The following is a 14351-nucleotide window of genomic DNA, read 5'->3' as shown; positions in this document are numbered from 1 at the left end:
TGGACACATCAGTGATTCTCCACCCAACAATGACTGTCGGGATCCTTAACGTAGAGGCCATCTGTGTTGGCCTCTGCAGTGTCATCAAAGGAGCCACACCAGGCTCCTTTGAACTCTCTTAGGTACTGCACTTGCCCCTGCTCCAAGCAGAATGTTCTTATCCTTTGTTTCGTCCTCTCTCCCCCTCCCTCTTCCTCTTGCCCAACCTTCTGTCTCAGTTTAGCAGTCACATCCTCAGACAACCCTTTTCCCATTCCCCCAACTAGGTGAGAACCTCCTGTTAGGTACTCCTGTCACAATGGATCCTACTTGTTTTTGTTTGTTTGTTTGTTTTTTTGAGACAAAGTTACTCTGTCACCCAGGCTGGAGTGCAGTAGTGCAGTCTCAGCTCACTGCAACCTCTGCCTCCCAGGTTCAAGAAATTCTCCTGCCTCAGCCTCCCGAGTAGCTGGGACTACAGGCATGCACCACCACACCCAGCTAATTTTTGTATTTTTAGTAGAGACGGAGTTTTGCCATGTTGGTCTTGAACTCCTGACCAAAGGTGATCTGCCTGCCTCAGCCTCGAAAAGTGCTGGGATTACAGATGTGAGCCACCACGCCCAGCTGATCCTCCTCCTTCTTTTTTTTTTTTTTTCAAGACAGGGTCTCACTCTGTTGCCCAGACGGGATTGTGGTGGTGTGATCACGGCTTACTGCAGCCCCACCTCCCAGCCTCAAGTGATTCTCCCACCTCAGCCTCCTGAGTTGCTGGGGCCACAGGCATGTGCCACCACACCTGGCTAGTTTAAGAATTTTTTTTTTTTTTTAGAGATGGGGTCTCACTATGTTGTCCAGGCTGGTCTTGAACCCCCAGCCTCAAGCAATCCCCCCTACCTTGGCCTCCTGAATAGCTGGGACTATAGGTGTATACCACCATGCCCAGCTAATTTGTATTACAGGGTCTTGCTATGTGGTCCAGGCTGGTCTTGAATTCCTGGGATCAAGTGATCCTCCTGCCTAGGCCTCCCCAAGTGCTGAGATTGCAGGCATGAGTCACTATGCATGGCCCTGAGATCTTTTATAGTGCTCTTGCATCTTGCAATTCTTTCTGCAAGTGTCTGCATTCCATGCTAGACTATAACCTTCATGAAGGCAGGTTTTGTTTACCACAGTTATTTCCAGTGCCTGGGACATAGTAGGTGCTCAGTAATTATTTGCTAAATAAGCAAATGAACTGGCAGCTGTTTTACAGCCCATGTGGTATGTATATGGCTCAGATAACGTTGTATTCAAGATTTTATTCTCTGCCCACATTTCACTACACATTTTTTTTTTTTTTTGAGATGGAGTCTTATTCTGTAGCCCAGGCTGGAGTGCAGTGGTGCAATCTTGGCTCACTTCAACCTCCGCCTCCCGGGTTCAAGTGATTCTCCTGCCTCAGCCTCCCAAGTAGCTGGGATTACAGGTGCCTGCCACCATTCCCAGGTAATTTTTGTATTTTTAGTAGAGATGGGGTTTCACCATGTTGGCCAGGCTGGTCTCAAACTCCTGACCTCAGGTGATCCACCTACCTCGGCCTCCCAAAGTGTTGGGATTACAGGCGTGAGCTACTGCGCCCAGCCAACTATACATTTTTGAAGCCCTCCTGATCACTTCCTTGGTTACTCTCATCTTTGTTTGAAGTTCAATATATTACTTTTTTTTTTTTTTTTTTTTTTTTTTTGGAGACAGAGTCTCACTCTGTCCCCCAGGCTGGAGTGCAATGGCATGATTCCGGCTCACTGCAACCTCTGCCTCCCAGGTTCAAGTGATTCTTTTGCCTCAGTCTCCCGAGTAGCTGGGATTACAGGTGTGCACCACCATGCCTGGCTAATTATTATTATTATTATTATTTTAGACAGAGTCTCGCTCTGTCACCCAGGCTGGAGTGCAATGGCATGATTTCAGCTCACTGCAGCCTCCGCCTCCTGGGTTCAAGCGACTCTCCTACCTCAGCCCCCTGAGTAGCTGGGACTATAGATGTGCACCACCATGCCTGACTAATTTTTGTATTTTTAGCAGAAACAGGGTTTCACCATGTTGGCCAGGCTTCTCTTGAACTCCTGACCTTAGGTGATCCACCTGCCTCGGCCTCCTAAAGTGCTGGGATTACAGGTGTGAGCCACCACTCTTGGCCAATTTTTTTTTTTTTTTTTTTTTTTTTTAGTAGAGATGGGGTCTTGCCATTGTTGGCCGGGCTGGTCTTGAACTCCTGGCCTCAAGTGATCCACCCGCCTCGGCCTCCCAAAGTCCTGGGATTACAGGCGTGAGCCACCACGCCTGGCTAGATATGTTGTATTTAAGATTTTATTCTCCTCTGCGCACTATATTTCACTATACAGTTTTGAAGCATTCCTGATCATTTACATGATTACTGTCATCTTTGCTTGAAGGTATGTTAAAAAAGAGTTTAATTCATTATATTACTTTGTGGTCATTCATCTAAAATAGAGTTATGTTACCCTTGTGTGTTATTGATTCTTCCCAGCAGGATGCCTGGTTTGCTTTTATGTGAACCAACAGAGCTTTACAACATCCTGAATCAGGCCACAAAACTCTCCAGATTAACAGACCCCAACTATCTCTGTTTATTGGGTAAGTACTTGGAAAAAAGCGGAGGAGGTCAAACACAGTGTCCTTCAAACATTATTTTTGATGAGTTAACAAACTTTTGGCGGGGTGGGGGGCAGTGAATGACTTTAGAACAGGGATCCCTGGGCTGGGTGTGGTGGCACACGCCTGTAATCCCAGCACTTGGGAAGGCCAAGGTGGGCGAATCACTTGAAGCCAGGAGATCAAGACCAGCCAGGCCAACAGGGCAAAACCCCATCTCTACTAAAAATACAAAAAAATTAGCTGCAGTGGTGCATGCCTGTAATCCCAGCTACTCAGGAGGCTGAGGCATGAGAATTGCTTGAACCTGGAAGGTGGAGGTTGGAGTGAGCCGAGATTTGGGCCACTGCATTCCAGCCTGGGTGACAGAGTGAGACCCTGTCTCAAAAAAGAAAAAAAAAAATAAAAAAGAAGTCCGCAACCCCCAACCCCCAGTACCAGTCTGTGGTCTGTTAGGAACCAGGCAGCACAGCAGGAGGTGAGCAGCAGGTGAGCAGGTGAAGCAGAAGCTTCATCTGTATTTACAGCCACTCCCCATCGCTTGCATTACCGCCTGAGCTCCACCTGCTGTCAGATCAGCAGCAGCATTAGATTCTCACAGGAGCGCAAACCCTACTGTGAAGTGTGCATTCAAGGGATCTAAGTTGCGCTCTCCTTGTGAGAATCTAATGCCTGATGATCTGTCACTATCTCCTGTCACCCCCAGAAGGGACCGTCTAGTCACAGGAAAACAAGTTCAGGGTTTCCACTGATTCTACATGATGGTAGAATTATTTCATTATATATTACAATGTAATAATAATAGAAATGCACAAAAAATGTAATGGGCTTGAGTCATCCCCAAACCATCCCCGCCCCCCAGCCCACTGCCCTGTTCCGTGGAAAAATTGTCTTCCATGAAACCAGTCCCTGGTGCCAAAAAGATTGGGGATCGCTGCTTTAGAAAGCTGTTAAGAGGCCAGGTGTGGTGGCTTGTGCCTGTAATCCCAGTGTTTTGGGAGGCCGAGGTGGGCGGATCAACTGAGGTCAGGAGTTTGAGACCAGCCTGGCCAACATGGTGAAACCCCGTCTCTACTAAAAATACAAAAATTAGCCGGGTGTGGTGGCATGTGCCTGTGGTCCCAGCTACTAGGGAGGCTGAGGCAGGAAAATCGCTTGAACCCAGGAGACGGAGATTGCAGTGAGCCGAGATCATGCCACTGCACTCCAACCTGGATGGGGATTTAGTGTGAGCTCACTTCAAATTTGATTTCTTCCTTCCCCTTACCATTTTTATTTATTTATGAGACAGAATCTTGTTCTGTTGCCCAGGCTGGAGTGCAATGGTGTGATCTTGGCTTGCTGCAACCTCAGCCTCCAGATTTAAGTGATTCTCCTTCAGCCTCGTGAGTAGCTGGGACTACAGGCGCTGCCACCACGCCCGGCTAATTTTTGTATTTTTAGTAGAGATGGGATTTCGCCGTGTTGGCCAGGCTGGTCTTGAACTCCTGGCTCAAGTGATCCACCTGCCTCGGCCTTCCAAAGTGCTGGGGTTACAGGTGCATGCCACCGCGCCCAGCCCCACATCTCAAGTTTTAAACTGACAATGACTATCCCTTAACTGCCAAACAAATAGACGTTGATGACGACGTAGGTCCTCTGAGTAGTTTGGTCGTATGTTCCTTTGCAAATTCAGTTCTTAAATACGTTTCCTTTCCAGATGTCCGTTCCAAATGGGAGTATGACGAAAGCCATGTGATCACTGCCCTTCGAGTGAAGAAGGTACATGGGCAGCGTCAGGATCTGGGGCAGGCTGGCTACCTTGCAGTGGGGTGGGGAAGAGTGGGAAGTTTCACCCTCAATCCAGCGGGCAGCAGAAGCAGGACTGTTTTCTATGTGCCCACCGTGGTGGTCTTCCACACCTCTCACCCTCACACATTTTCTCAGGTGTCCTCCCATCCCCCAAGAATGGTCAACAACTCCATTAGACAAATACTGATTTAATTTTTGAGACCGGGTCTCGCTCTGTCATCCAGGCTGGAGTGCAGTGGCACAATCATAGCTCACTGCGGCCTTAAACTCCTGGGCTTGGCTGGGCATGGTGGTTCATGCCTGCAGTCCCAGCACTTTGTGAGGCTGAGACGGGCAGATCACCTGAGGTCAGGAGTTCAAGACCAGACTGGCCAACATGGTGAAACCCCATCTCTATTAAAAATACAAAAATTAGCCAGGTGTGGTGGCTTACGCCTGAGTCCCAGCTACTCAGGAGGCTGAGACATGAGAATCGCTTGGACCTGGGAGGCGGAGTTTGTAGTGAGCTGAGATCACGCCACTGTACTCTAGCCTGGGCAACAGAGTGAGTGTTGGTCTAAAAAATATATATATATCTCCTGGGCTCGAGCAATCCTACGCCGCTCAGCCTCCAGAGTAGCTGAGACTACAATGGGGAATGCCACCAGGCCTGGCTAATTTTTGTATTTTTTATAGAAATGGGGTTGCACTGTGTTGCCCAGGCTGCTCTTGAACTCCTGGACTCAAGCCATCCTCCTGCCTTAGCCTCCCAAAGCGCTGGGATTACACATGTGAGCCGCCTAAGCCTGGCCAAATATTGATTTAATTCCTTGATATGCCAGGTATTGTTCCAGACCCTGGGGATACAACAGAATACAACAGCCTGAGTTCATTGTCCCTGCCGTTGTGGAGCTTTCTTTTTTTGTTGTTTTTAATTATTTTTTCTGTTTTTATGTGTTGTTTTTATATATTTTTTTCATTTTTATCTTTATTTTTGGAGCTTTATGTTGTAAATTTTTAGGGACAGGGTCTTGCTCTGTCACCCGGGCAGGGGTGCAGTGGCACAATCATGGCTTGAACTCCTGGGTTCAATCAACCCTCCTATCTCAGCCTCCTGAGTAGCTGGGACTGCAGACTTGTGCCAACATGCTAATTTTTTTTTTTTAAAGACAGGATCTTATTATGTTGCCCAGGCTGTCATGGACCTTCTCTTCTATTTAGCAAACAGACAATAAACCCTAGAGATAATTGGCTATAATCCAAAGATGGAAGCATCTCCCTTTTTTCCTTCCCATCCCCTCCCCTCTTCCATTCCCCTCCTGTCCCCTCTTCCCTTCCCCATCCTGAGGAGTGGACAGAGCCCTGCACACAGTCACCATGTCCCCTACTGCAGCGAAACCTTTTCCCCACGCCTCCAGGGTGTCTTCTCCCTCATGATTGTGAAGCCTGGCAGCCTTTGCCCAGGACCCGTCTCTCCCCTCTGCAGTCCTGATCAAATTCTCTGCCCTGAACTTGGAGGTTCTCTTTGACTTTCCTGGTTTCTTTTCTTTATTCTTTTTTTTTTTCTTTTGAGACAGAATCTCTCCCTGTCACCCAGGCTGGAGTGCAGTGGCACAATTTCGGCTCACTGCAACCTCTGCCTCCCAGGTTCAAATGATTCTCCTGCCTCAGCCTCCAGCCTGTAGCTGGGATTACAGGCGTGCGCCACCACACCTGGCTAATTTTTTCTTATCTTTTTTTGTATCTTTAGTAGAGACAGGGTTTCACCATGTTGGCCAGGCTGGTCTGGAACTCCTGACCTCGTTATCTGCCTGTCTTAGCCACCCAAAGTGCTGGGATTGCAGGCGTGAGCCTGGCCTCCTGGTTTATTTTCTATCTCTTTGGTTCACCTTCATTTTCTCCTTCTGCCACCTGAATGTAACTGCTGGTCTGTCCTTGATCTCCACATCTGTCAGGGTACTTTCTTGCCAGAGATTTCACTGGAGCTTACAGCTGCAATGACATATCCACATGCAATTAGCATTCCTGGCAAGTTTACATCTAAAATTTTGGGCGGGGCATGGAGGCTTACTCCTGTAATCCTAGCACTTTGGTTGGCCGAAGCAGGAGGATTGCTTGAGTCCAGGAGTTCAAGACCAGCCTGGGCAACATAGCAAGACCCCTGTCTCTACAAAAAAATTGAAAAATTAACTCAGTGTGGTGGGGCACCTCTGTAGTACCAGCTACTTGGGAGGCCGAGATGGGAGGATCACTTGAGTCCAGGAGGCTGATTGCACCACTGCACTCCAGCCTGGGCGACAGAGCAAGACCCTGTCTCAAAAGTAATAAAATAAAACTTTGTCTTCTAAAATTCCCCTTTCCTCCCCATTCCCGCTGTACTTTTCCACACCCTGTCTCTGCTGCTTTTTTTTTTTTTTTTTTTTTTTTTTTTTTTTTTTTTGGAGACAGAGTCTTGCTCTGTCCTCCAGGCTGGAGTGCAGTGGTGCAATCTCAGCTCGCTGCACGCTCCACCTCCCGGGTTAACGCCATTATCCTGCCTCAGCCTCCCGAGTAGCTGGGACTATAGGCGCCCGCCACCATGCCTGGCTAATTTTTTGTATTCGTAGTAGAGACGGGGTTTCACCGTGTTAGCCAGGATGCTCTCGATCTTCTGATCTCATGATCCGCCCACCTCAGCCTCCCAAAGTGCTGGAATTACAGGCGTGAGCCACCGCGCCCGGCCTCTGTGCTGCTTTTTCTGCACATAACTCAATAACTCAGCAGGGAGCATGGGCAGGCTGTATTTTTCCAGGATATTTCCCCGTACAAATCCATCATTATTGTCTTTTTGTCTTTTTGTGTTTTTGAGACAGAATCTTGCTCTGTCTGTCTGCCCGGTGCAGTGGTACAATCTCAGCTCACTGCAACCTCCATCTCCCAAGTTCAAGGGATTCTCCTGCCTCAGCCTCCCTCGTAGCTGGGGTTACAGGCACCCGCCACCACACCTGGCTAATTTTTATATTTTTAGTAGAGATGGAGTTTCGCCATGTTGGCCAGGCTGGTCTTGAACTCCTGACCTCAGGTGATCCACCCGCCTTGACCTTCCAAAGTGCTGGGATTACAGGCATGAGCCACCACACCAGGCCCATAATCTTACTCTTAATCCCCATTGCAGGCCTTTTGCTGCAACCGATTCAGAGCCCCTCATGATGTATGGGCCTCTATTCCCACTCAGCTCTCAAGTCTGTGCATTTCTTTGATTCTGGCAGCACCTCCTGCTCTGGGCCTCTGCCCCTCAGCGTCTCCAATTCAGACTGATAGCTTTTTTTTTTTAATTTTTATTTTTATTTTTTGAGACAAAGTCTTGCTCTTGTCGCCCAGGCTGGAGTGCAGTGGCGCACTCTTGGCTCTTGCCTTCCCTCTCTAGCTTCCCAGTTAGCAGATTGAGGCCTTCAGGGCATTCCCAGCCCTAGCAGGACAGAAAGGCTCCCAGCCCCACCCCCCTCCCGCCCGTGTTCTCAGCCTTCTTAGATCTGACCACCTCTGTCTCCAGCCTCATTCCCAGTACACTTCCACTCTCACCTGACACCTTAGCAGCACTGTGCTGCCATGTTTCCTTCTATGATGCACATGTATCCCATACTGTAACTTTTTTTTGAAAACAGAATATGTCGTACTGTTGAATTTTTTTTTTTTTTTTTTTTTGAGACAGAGTCTCACTCTGTCGCCCAGGCTGGAGTGCAGTGGTACGATCTTGGCTCACTGCAACCTCCGCTTCCCAGGTTCAGGCAATTCTTCTGCCTCAGTCTCCCAAGTAGCTGGGACTACAGGCGCATACCACCACACCTGGCTAATTTTTGCATTTTTAGTAGAGATGGAGTTTCACCATATTGGTCAGGCTGGTCTCAAACTCCTGACCTTGTGATCCGCCTGCCTTGGCCTCCCAAAGTGCTGGGATTACAAGTGTGAGCCACCGCACCTGGCCAATTTGTATGGCTTTTTTTTGTTTTGTTTTTTTTGTTTTGTTGTTTTGTTTTGAGACAGGGTCTCACTCTCTCGCTTAGGCTGGAGTGCAATGGCACCATCACAGCTCACTGCAGCCTTAAACTCCCAGGATCAAGCAGTCCTCCCACCTTACCCTTCCCAGTAGCTGGGACCATAGGTGTGCACCACCACACCCAGCTAACTTGTATTTTTTGTAGAGATGGGGTCTCGCTATGTTACCCAGGCTGGTCTTGAACGCCTGGGCTCAAGCAGTCCTCCCTCCTCAGCCTCCCATAGTGCTGGGATGACAGGCATGAGCCACCAGGCCTGGCCTGATTTGTACTTTTAATATGGTAGTGTCTTTTTCCCTAAAAGTGGGTGTGGTGAATATCGGTTGTTTTTCTGCCCAACACCTCCCCCTTTTTGAGGGGAACGTCTCCTCTCTCTGCTCAAACCATGGGTTTCTAGTGGTGCTCTCTAAAGTAATATTCTGGCCAGGCACGGTGGCTTAAGTCTGTAATCCCAACACTTTGGGAGGCCGAGGTGGGGAGTTTGCTTGAGCTCAAGAGTTTGAGACGAGCCTGGACAACACAGTGGGACCTGAGAAGGCATCTGTTTACTGCCTTCTTTTTAAGTGGTGGTGGTGTTCTTGTTGTTTTGAGACAGTTTCACTCTGTTGCCCAGGCTTGAGTGCAGTGACGCGATCTCGGCTCACTGCAACCTCTGCCTCCCGGGTTCAAGCCATTCTCCTGCCTCAGCCTCTTTGGTAGCTGGTACTATAGGCGTGTGCCACCACACCTGGCTAATTTTTGTATTTTTAGTAGAGATGAGGTTTCACCATGTTGGCCAGGCTGATCTCGAACTGACCTCAGGTGATCCGCCCACCTTGGCCTCCCAAAGTGCTGGGATTACAGACATGAGCCTCCGCGCCCGGCCTTGTTGGTTTGAGACAAGTCTTGCTGTCACCCAGGCTGGAGCGCAGTGATGCAATCATAGCTCACTGCAGCCTCCACCTCCCAGACTCAAGTGATCCTCTCACCTCAGACTCCCGAGTAGCTGGGACTACATGTGCACCCTCCCACACCCGGCTTTTTTTGTCTCTACAAATATATCTATATATATAGATATAAATATATAAATTAGCCAAGTATGGTGGTGCATGCCCGTGGTCCCAGCTACTCAGGAGGCTGAAGTGCGAAGATCATTTGAGCCCAGGAATTCAAGGCTGCAGTGAGCGGTGACTGCACCACTGCAGTCCAGCCTGGGCAACAGAGTGAGACCCTGTCTCTAAAATAAAATAATATCCAGAACGCTGGCCACAGTGATTGGTCCTGGGTCTGGGATGAAAGCTGAGCCAATCAGAATTGGAATTAGAAGAAAGGTGTCTCTGTCCAGCCTGGTGGTGGAATTGGGAAGATGGGAGTCTGAGCATTGCTGGGGTTCGTGACTTAAGCCTCTGGAGGAAGCTGTCTGAGAAGGGGAAGTCAGTGTGGAGGGGTGGAGTGGGAAGCAGAGAGGAAGAGAGCCCGAAGGAAGTCTGGGCTTTAGGGTCTCTGGGTCCTAAAGCCAGCTGCTTTAGGTTTGGAAACCGGCTGCATCTTTGCCTTACCCTGGAGTGTTACCTGCCAGTAAGTCCCTCTTTTGTGCACACTCCTGGTTAAATTGTTAGTACATCTTATGATCCATGAGGTTTTTTGTTTGTTTGTTTGTTTTGTTTTGTTTTTGTTTTATTTTTGTTTTTTTGGGACATAGTCTCACTCTGTTACCCAGGCTGGAGTGCAGTGGTGCAATCATAGCTCACTGCAGCTTTGAACTCCAGGGCTCAAGCGATCCTCCCACCTCAGCCTCCCAGGTAGCTGGGATTATAGGCATGAGCCACCATGGCCAGCCACATTTGATCTTCTAGTCTATCTCATTCCTTCTGCTCACTCATGACTTCTGCTTCTACACACTGTCTACTTACTGTCCTTTTTTGGGGTGTTTTTTGTCTTGTTGTTGTTGTTTTGGGACAGGGTCTTGCTCTGTCACCCAGACTGGAGTGCAGTGACACAATCGCAGCTCACTGCAGCCTCCGCCTCCTGGGCTCAAGTGATCCGTCCACTTCAGCCTCCTGAGTAGTAGGGACTACAGGCGCATGCCACTATGCCTGGCATTTTTGTATTTTTTTTTTTTTCATAGAGTCGGGGATCTTGCTGTTGTCCAGGCTGGTCTGGAACTCCTGGCCTCAAGCAATCCTCCTGCCTTGGCCTCCTGAAGTGCTGGGATTACAGGTGCAAACCACTGCATCCAGTCTGGTATTTCTGGATTCAATCTCCACTGCCAAACACTCTCCCCATGAGAAAGGATATCACTAATTCAATTGACCATGGTTTCTCTGACACCAGGGTACCTAATAGGCTGTGGATCAGTCAGCAGACCAGCTGTTCTTTGGTCAGGCACTTCTCTCTGGTCCAGTCAGCTGTGGTCAGCTTTTCTCAGAAGGGAACACAGTTGTGGAGGATCCTTGGGATTTAACAGACTCTCCATCCACTGTCTCAGTGCTTCTGGGCCTGTGTGTATAGTCAGGGGAGAGAGTGCGGTCTTAGCTCCTCCCAGTGCTGCTATGCAGGGAGTCTCTGCTCAACCGAACCTGCCCACCAACAGGCCTCTCTTGTGTGTGTGTGTTTTTTTTTTTAAGAAAAATAATGAATATCTTCTCCCGGAGTCTGTGGACCTGGAGTGTGTGAAGTACTGCGTGGTGTATGATAACAACAGCAGCACCCTGGAGATACTCTTAAAAGATGATGATGATGATTCAGACTCTGATGGTGATGGCAAAGGTGGGTTTTATGCAACAGCAGCAAGAATAATAGTTAACGGCTATTGAACAAATTTGTTATAGGACCAACAGGTTCATATGCCCATGGCACGGGAACAGGCCAATGACACTGAGACAGCAGGGTTTGCGTCAGAAAAAGAGCTTCATGATCACTGGATACCGAGCAAGGAGATGGGAGGAGGCCCTCAAATACATTTCCCCAAGGAGTTTGGAATGGGGTTTTTAAGGGGATTGGGGAGGGTGAGGGACTGGAAAGTTGGGGTCATTGATTGGTTGAGGAAAGGGGGATGAAATAATCAGGACGTGGAAACTGCGTTCTTTGGTGAGTCAGCTCCTGTGGGGCCCGTCAGACCAGCTGATGTCAGTGGTTTCATCAGTACGCGGGACCTGAAAGAATATCTCAAAGGGAAAACAGTGTTCCATGATGTTCAAGTTGTCACCTACAGAGCAGTTAAGGGGAACTATATTCTTGGCCGGGCGCGGTGGCTCATGCCTGTAATCCCAGCACTTTGGGAGGCCGAGGCGGGCGGATCACAAGGTCAGGAGATTGAGACCATCTTGGCTAACACGGTGAAACTCCGTCTCTACTAAATACACAAAAAATTAGCCGGGCATGGTGGCAGGCGCCTGTAGTCCCTGCTAGCTACTTGGGAGGCTGAGGCAGGAGAATGGCGTGAACCCAGGAGGCAGAGCTTGCAGTGAGCGGAGATCACGCCACTGCACTCCAGCCTGGGCGACAGAGCGAGACTCCTTCTCAAAAAAAAAAAAAAATTCTTGTAACAGGGTCTTATGTGATTCTAGGACAATACACATCAAACAGCTGTGAGCAAGCAGGTTGGAGAGCAAGCAAGGTGACTTAGTGATGAATGCTGAATGTGCTGCAAGCTTGCTTTATTTTCATTTGTTCCCCTCCCTTCTTTGCTGATTTCACAAAGTTTATGGGGACAGTTCCATGTGTGCCATGCACCAGGAACCAAGGGCTTTACTTGGATCTGCAGAACAGCTTACAAGGACGCTAACTAACATCAAGAGCTGTGAGGAAGCCAGGCCCAGTGACTCATACCTGTAGTCCCAGCACTTGGGGAGGCTGAGGCAGGAGGATCACTTGAGCCCAGGAGTTCAAGACCAGCCTGGGTGATATGGCAAGATAAGGTACCCAGCTCATTTATTTACTTTTTGTAAAGACTGGGTCTTGCTGTGTTGCCTGAGACTTAAGCTTTTAAAAGTGTTGTGGACATATTTTTAAACCACCACACCTATAAGTGGTGGGGCCAGGATTCAAACCCAGGCCTTTTTGGCTCTGTCCTGTCCCCCAGGGATTGGGTAGTGGCACGAGAGCATGCAGCCCCAAGTCAGAACATTAAAGCGTGGTCAGTTCCAATGTGCTCCATCGAACCTCTGAGGCTCTGCTGTGTTCTTCATTAGCCCCTGGTTTTGGGCTGACCACCCTTTGCCATTGGCACTGGGAGCTCTGCTTCTAGGAATCAGAACTGCACCTGTGGGTGCCGTTCCAGAAGCTGGGGGCACTCACACCAACTGCCACGGGGTGGCGCTATGCTCCCACCTTTCATAAAACCAGCTGTCTGGACTTTTGTCCCAGGAGGTCCTTGGCCAGGAAATTGTCCCTTCTTCCCTAAGCTCATCCTGTTGGGCTCTGGTCTGCAATCCTAGGACTGTAGGCTAGGCCTTGAAACCCTAGGAGATGGTACTCAACATGGATAATCCCCTTTACATTCTATAACTGACCTTACTTTGCTATGGGGCCCCCATTCACAGGAAACCACAACCACACAACTTGTGCATTCAAGGCAACTTTTCTTGTTTCAAATGGCATCTTTCAGGTCAATGAAAAGTCTTTGGGGGTACAAGACCATCTCAAGGCTTCTCTCAACACCCCCTTCTTTCTTTTTTTTTTTTTTTTTTTGAGTCAGGGTCTCGCTTTGTTGCCCAGGCTGGTCTCGAACTCTTGGCTTCAAGCAATTCTCTTGCATTGGCCTCTCAAAGTGCATGGATTACAGGCATGAGCCACCATGCCTGGCCTGAACTCTGACTTCTGAGCCAGGCCCTGTGGGGTGAGCTTTGGCTCCTGTCTTGAGAGCTGCAGATTCTCTCTCAGCCTGGCTGCAGATTCCAGATTCTTCCTGTCAATGCCATCTCTCAGATAGGTCCCAGCCACTTATATCCTCCACAGCCCCTTCTGGAAGTGTCTTTGTCTCCCTGAACAAAAATTCAATATGGAAGCAGAGTTAGCCAGGCACGGTGCCTCACACTCGTAATCCCAGCACTTTGTGAGGCTGAGGCAGGAGGGTTGCTTGAAGCCAGGAGTTTGAGACCACCCTGGGCAACATAGCAAGGCCCCGTCTCTACCAAAAATACAAAAAAAAAAATTTAGCCAGGCATGGTGGTGCATGCCTGTAGCACCAGCTACTCAGGAGGCTGAGGCAGGAGGATCACTTGAGCCCAGGTGGTCAAGGCTGCAGTGAGCTATGACTGTACCACTGTATTCTAGCCTGGCTGACAGCGTAAGACCCTGTCTCTAAAAAAAACGTATTTAAAAAAAAAAAAAAAAGAAAAAAACAGTTAGAGTTCATGCTGTTTTCTTTCTCCTTTTATCTGGCTCTCTGAAGTCTGCCACACACTATTTCTCTTTCTGGGCCAGAACCTGGCCTCAGGATATCTTGGTTTAAGGATGTCTTGGCTTAGCCTTAATTATGCAAACTTCCTGTCACATATATCTAATTTACATGCAGTCTGATTGTGATTCTGCAGATCAATGAAGGTGTTTAAGATTAAATTGATGTCAAAACCACATTGAGATATTATTCACGCCCACTGGGATGGTAATAATCAAAGAGACAGATGATAATAAGTGTTGGTGAGAACATGGAGAAATTGGAAGCCTCATACACTGCGAACCAGAAAGTAAAATGGTGCAGTCACTGGAAAACAGTGTGGTGTTTCTTTAGAAGGTTAAGATATAGACCCCAAAGTAATGAAAACACATCCACACCAAAGCTTTTACATGAATGTTCATAGCAGTGTTATTCATAATAGCCAAAAAGCACGAACAACCTAAGTGTCTATCAGCAGCTAAACAGGTAGAACAGAATGTGGTCTGTCCACACAATGGAATATTACTCAGCCATAAAAAGGAATGGGGCTGGGC

At 48.5% G+C, this 14351-nt stretch overlaps 1 protein-coding gene across 14 annotated transcripts in view, besides 1 other annotated feature; it reads left to right on the top strand.

Moving 5' to 3' along the window:
* STYXL1 (serine/threonine/tyrosine interacting like 1) overlaps positions 1-14351 on the top strand; it is a 51664-nt gene that overhangs the window by 14964 nt on the left and 22349 nt on the right. For 6 of the 14 annotated variants that reach the window (NR_134486.2, XM_011516293.4, XM_047420466.1 and 3 more), the window contains 3 exons: positions 2513-2616; positions 4334-4395; positions 11045-11186. Coding sequence is in view for 12 of the 14 variants with exons in the window: in XM_011516293.4 (XP_011514595.1) it covers positions 2514-2616; positions 4334-4395; positions 11045-11186 (307 nt within the window). In the remaining 2 variants the exon portion in view is untranslated. Of the gene's footprint in view, positions 1-2363; positions 2415-2509; positions 2617-4333; positions 4396-11044; positions 11187-14351 lie in introns of those variants that run through there. The other 8 variants (XM_047420468.1, NM_001317786.2, NM_001317785.2 and 5 more) reach the window with 5 other exon arrangements.
* Positions 13341-13842: an enhancer, noted in NCBI's record as "H3K27ac hESC enhancer chr7:75648513-75649014 (GRCh37/hg19 assembly coordinates)". NCBI's record gives its function as "activates a minimal SCP1, AML or CMV promoter by ChIP-STARR-seq in primed H9 embryonic stem cells {active_cell/tissue: H9 hESC(primed)}" and the evidence as "EXISTENCE:reporter gene assay evidence [ECO:0000049][PMID:30033119]".

The sequence above is a fragment of the Homo sapiens genome, chromosome 7 (genome assembly GCF_000001405.40).
Source record: "Homo sapiens chromosome 7, GRCh38.p14 Primary Assembly".
NCBI lineage: Eukaryota > Metazoa > Chordata > Mammalia > Primates > Hominidae > Homo > Homo sapiens.
Note: the sequence above shows the minus strand (reverse complement) of the source record. Positions and strands in the feature narration are given on the sequence as shown.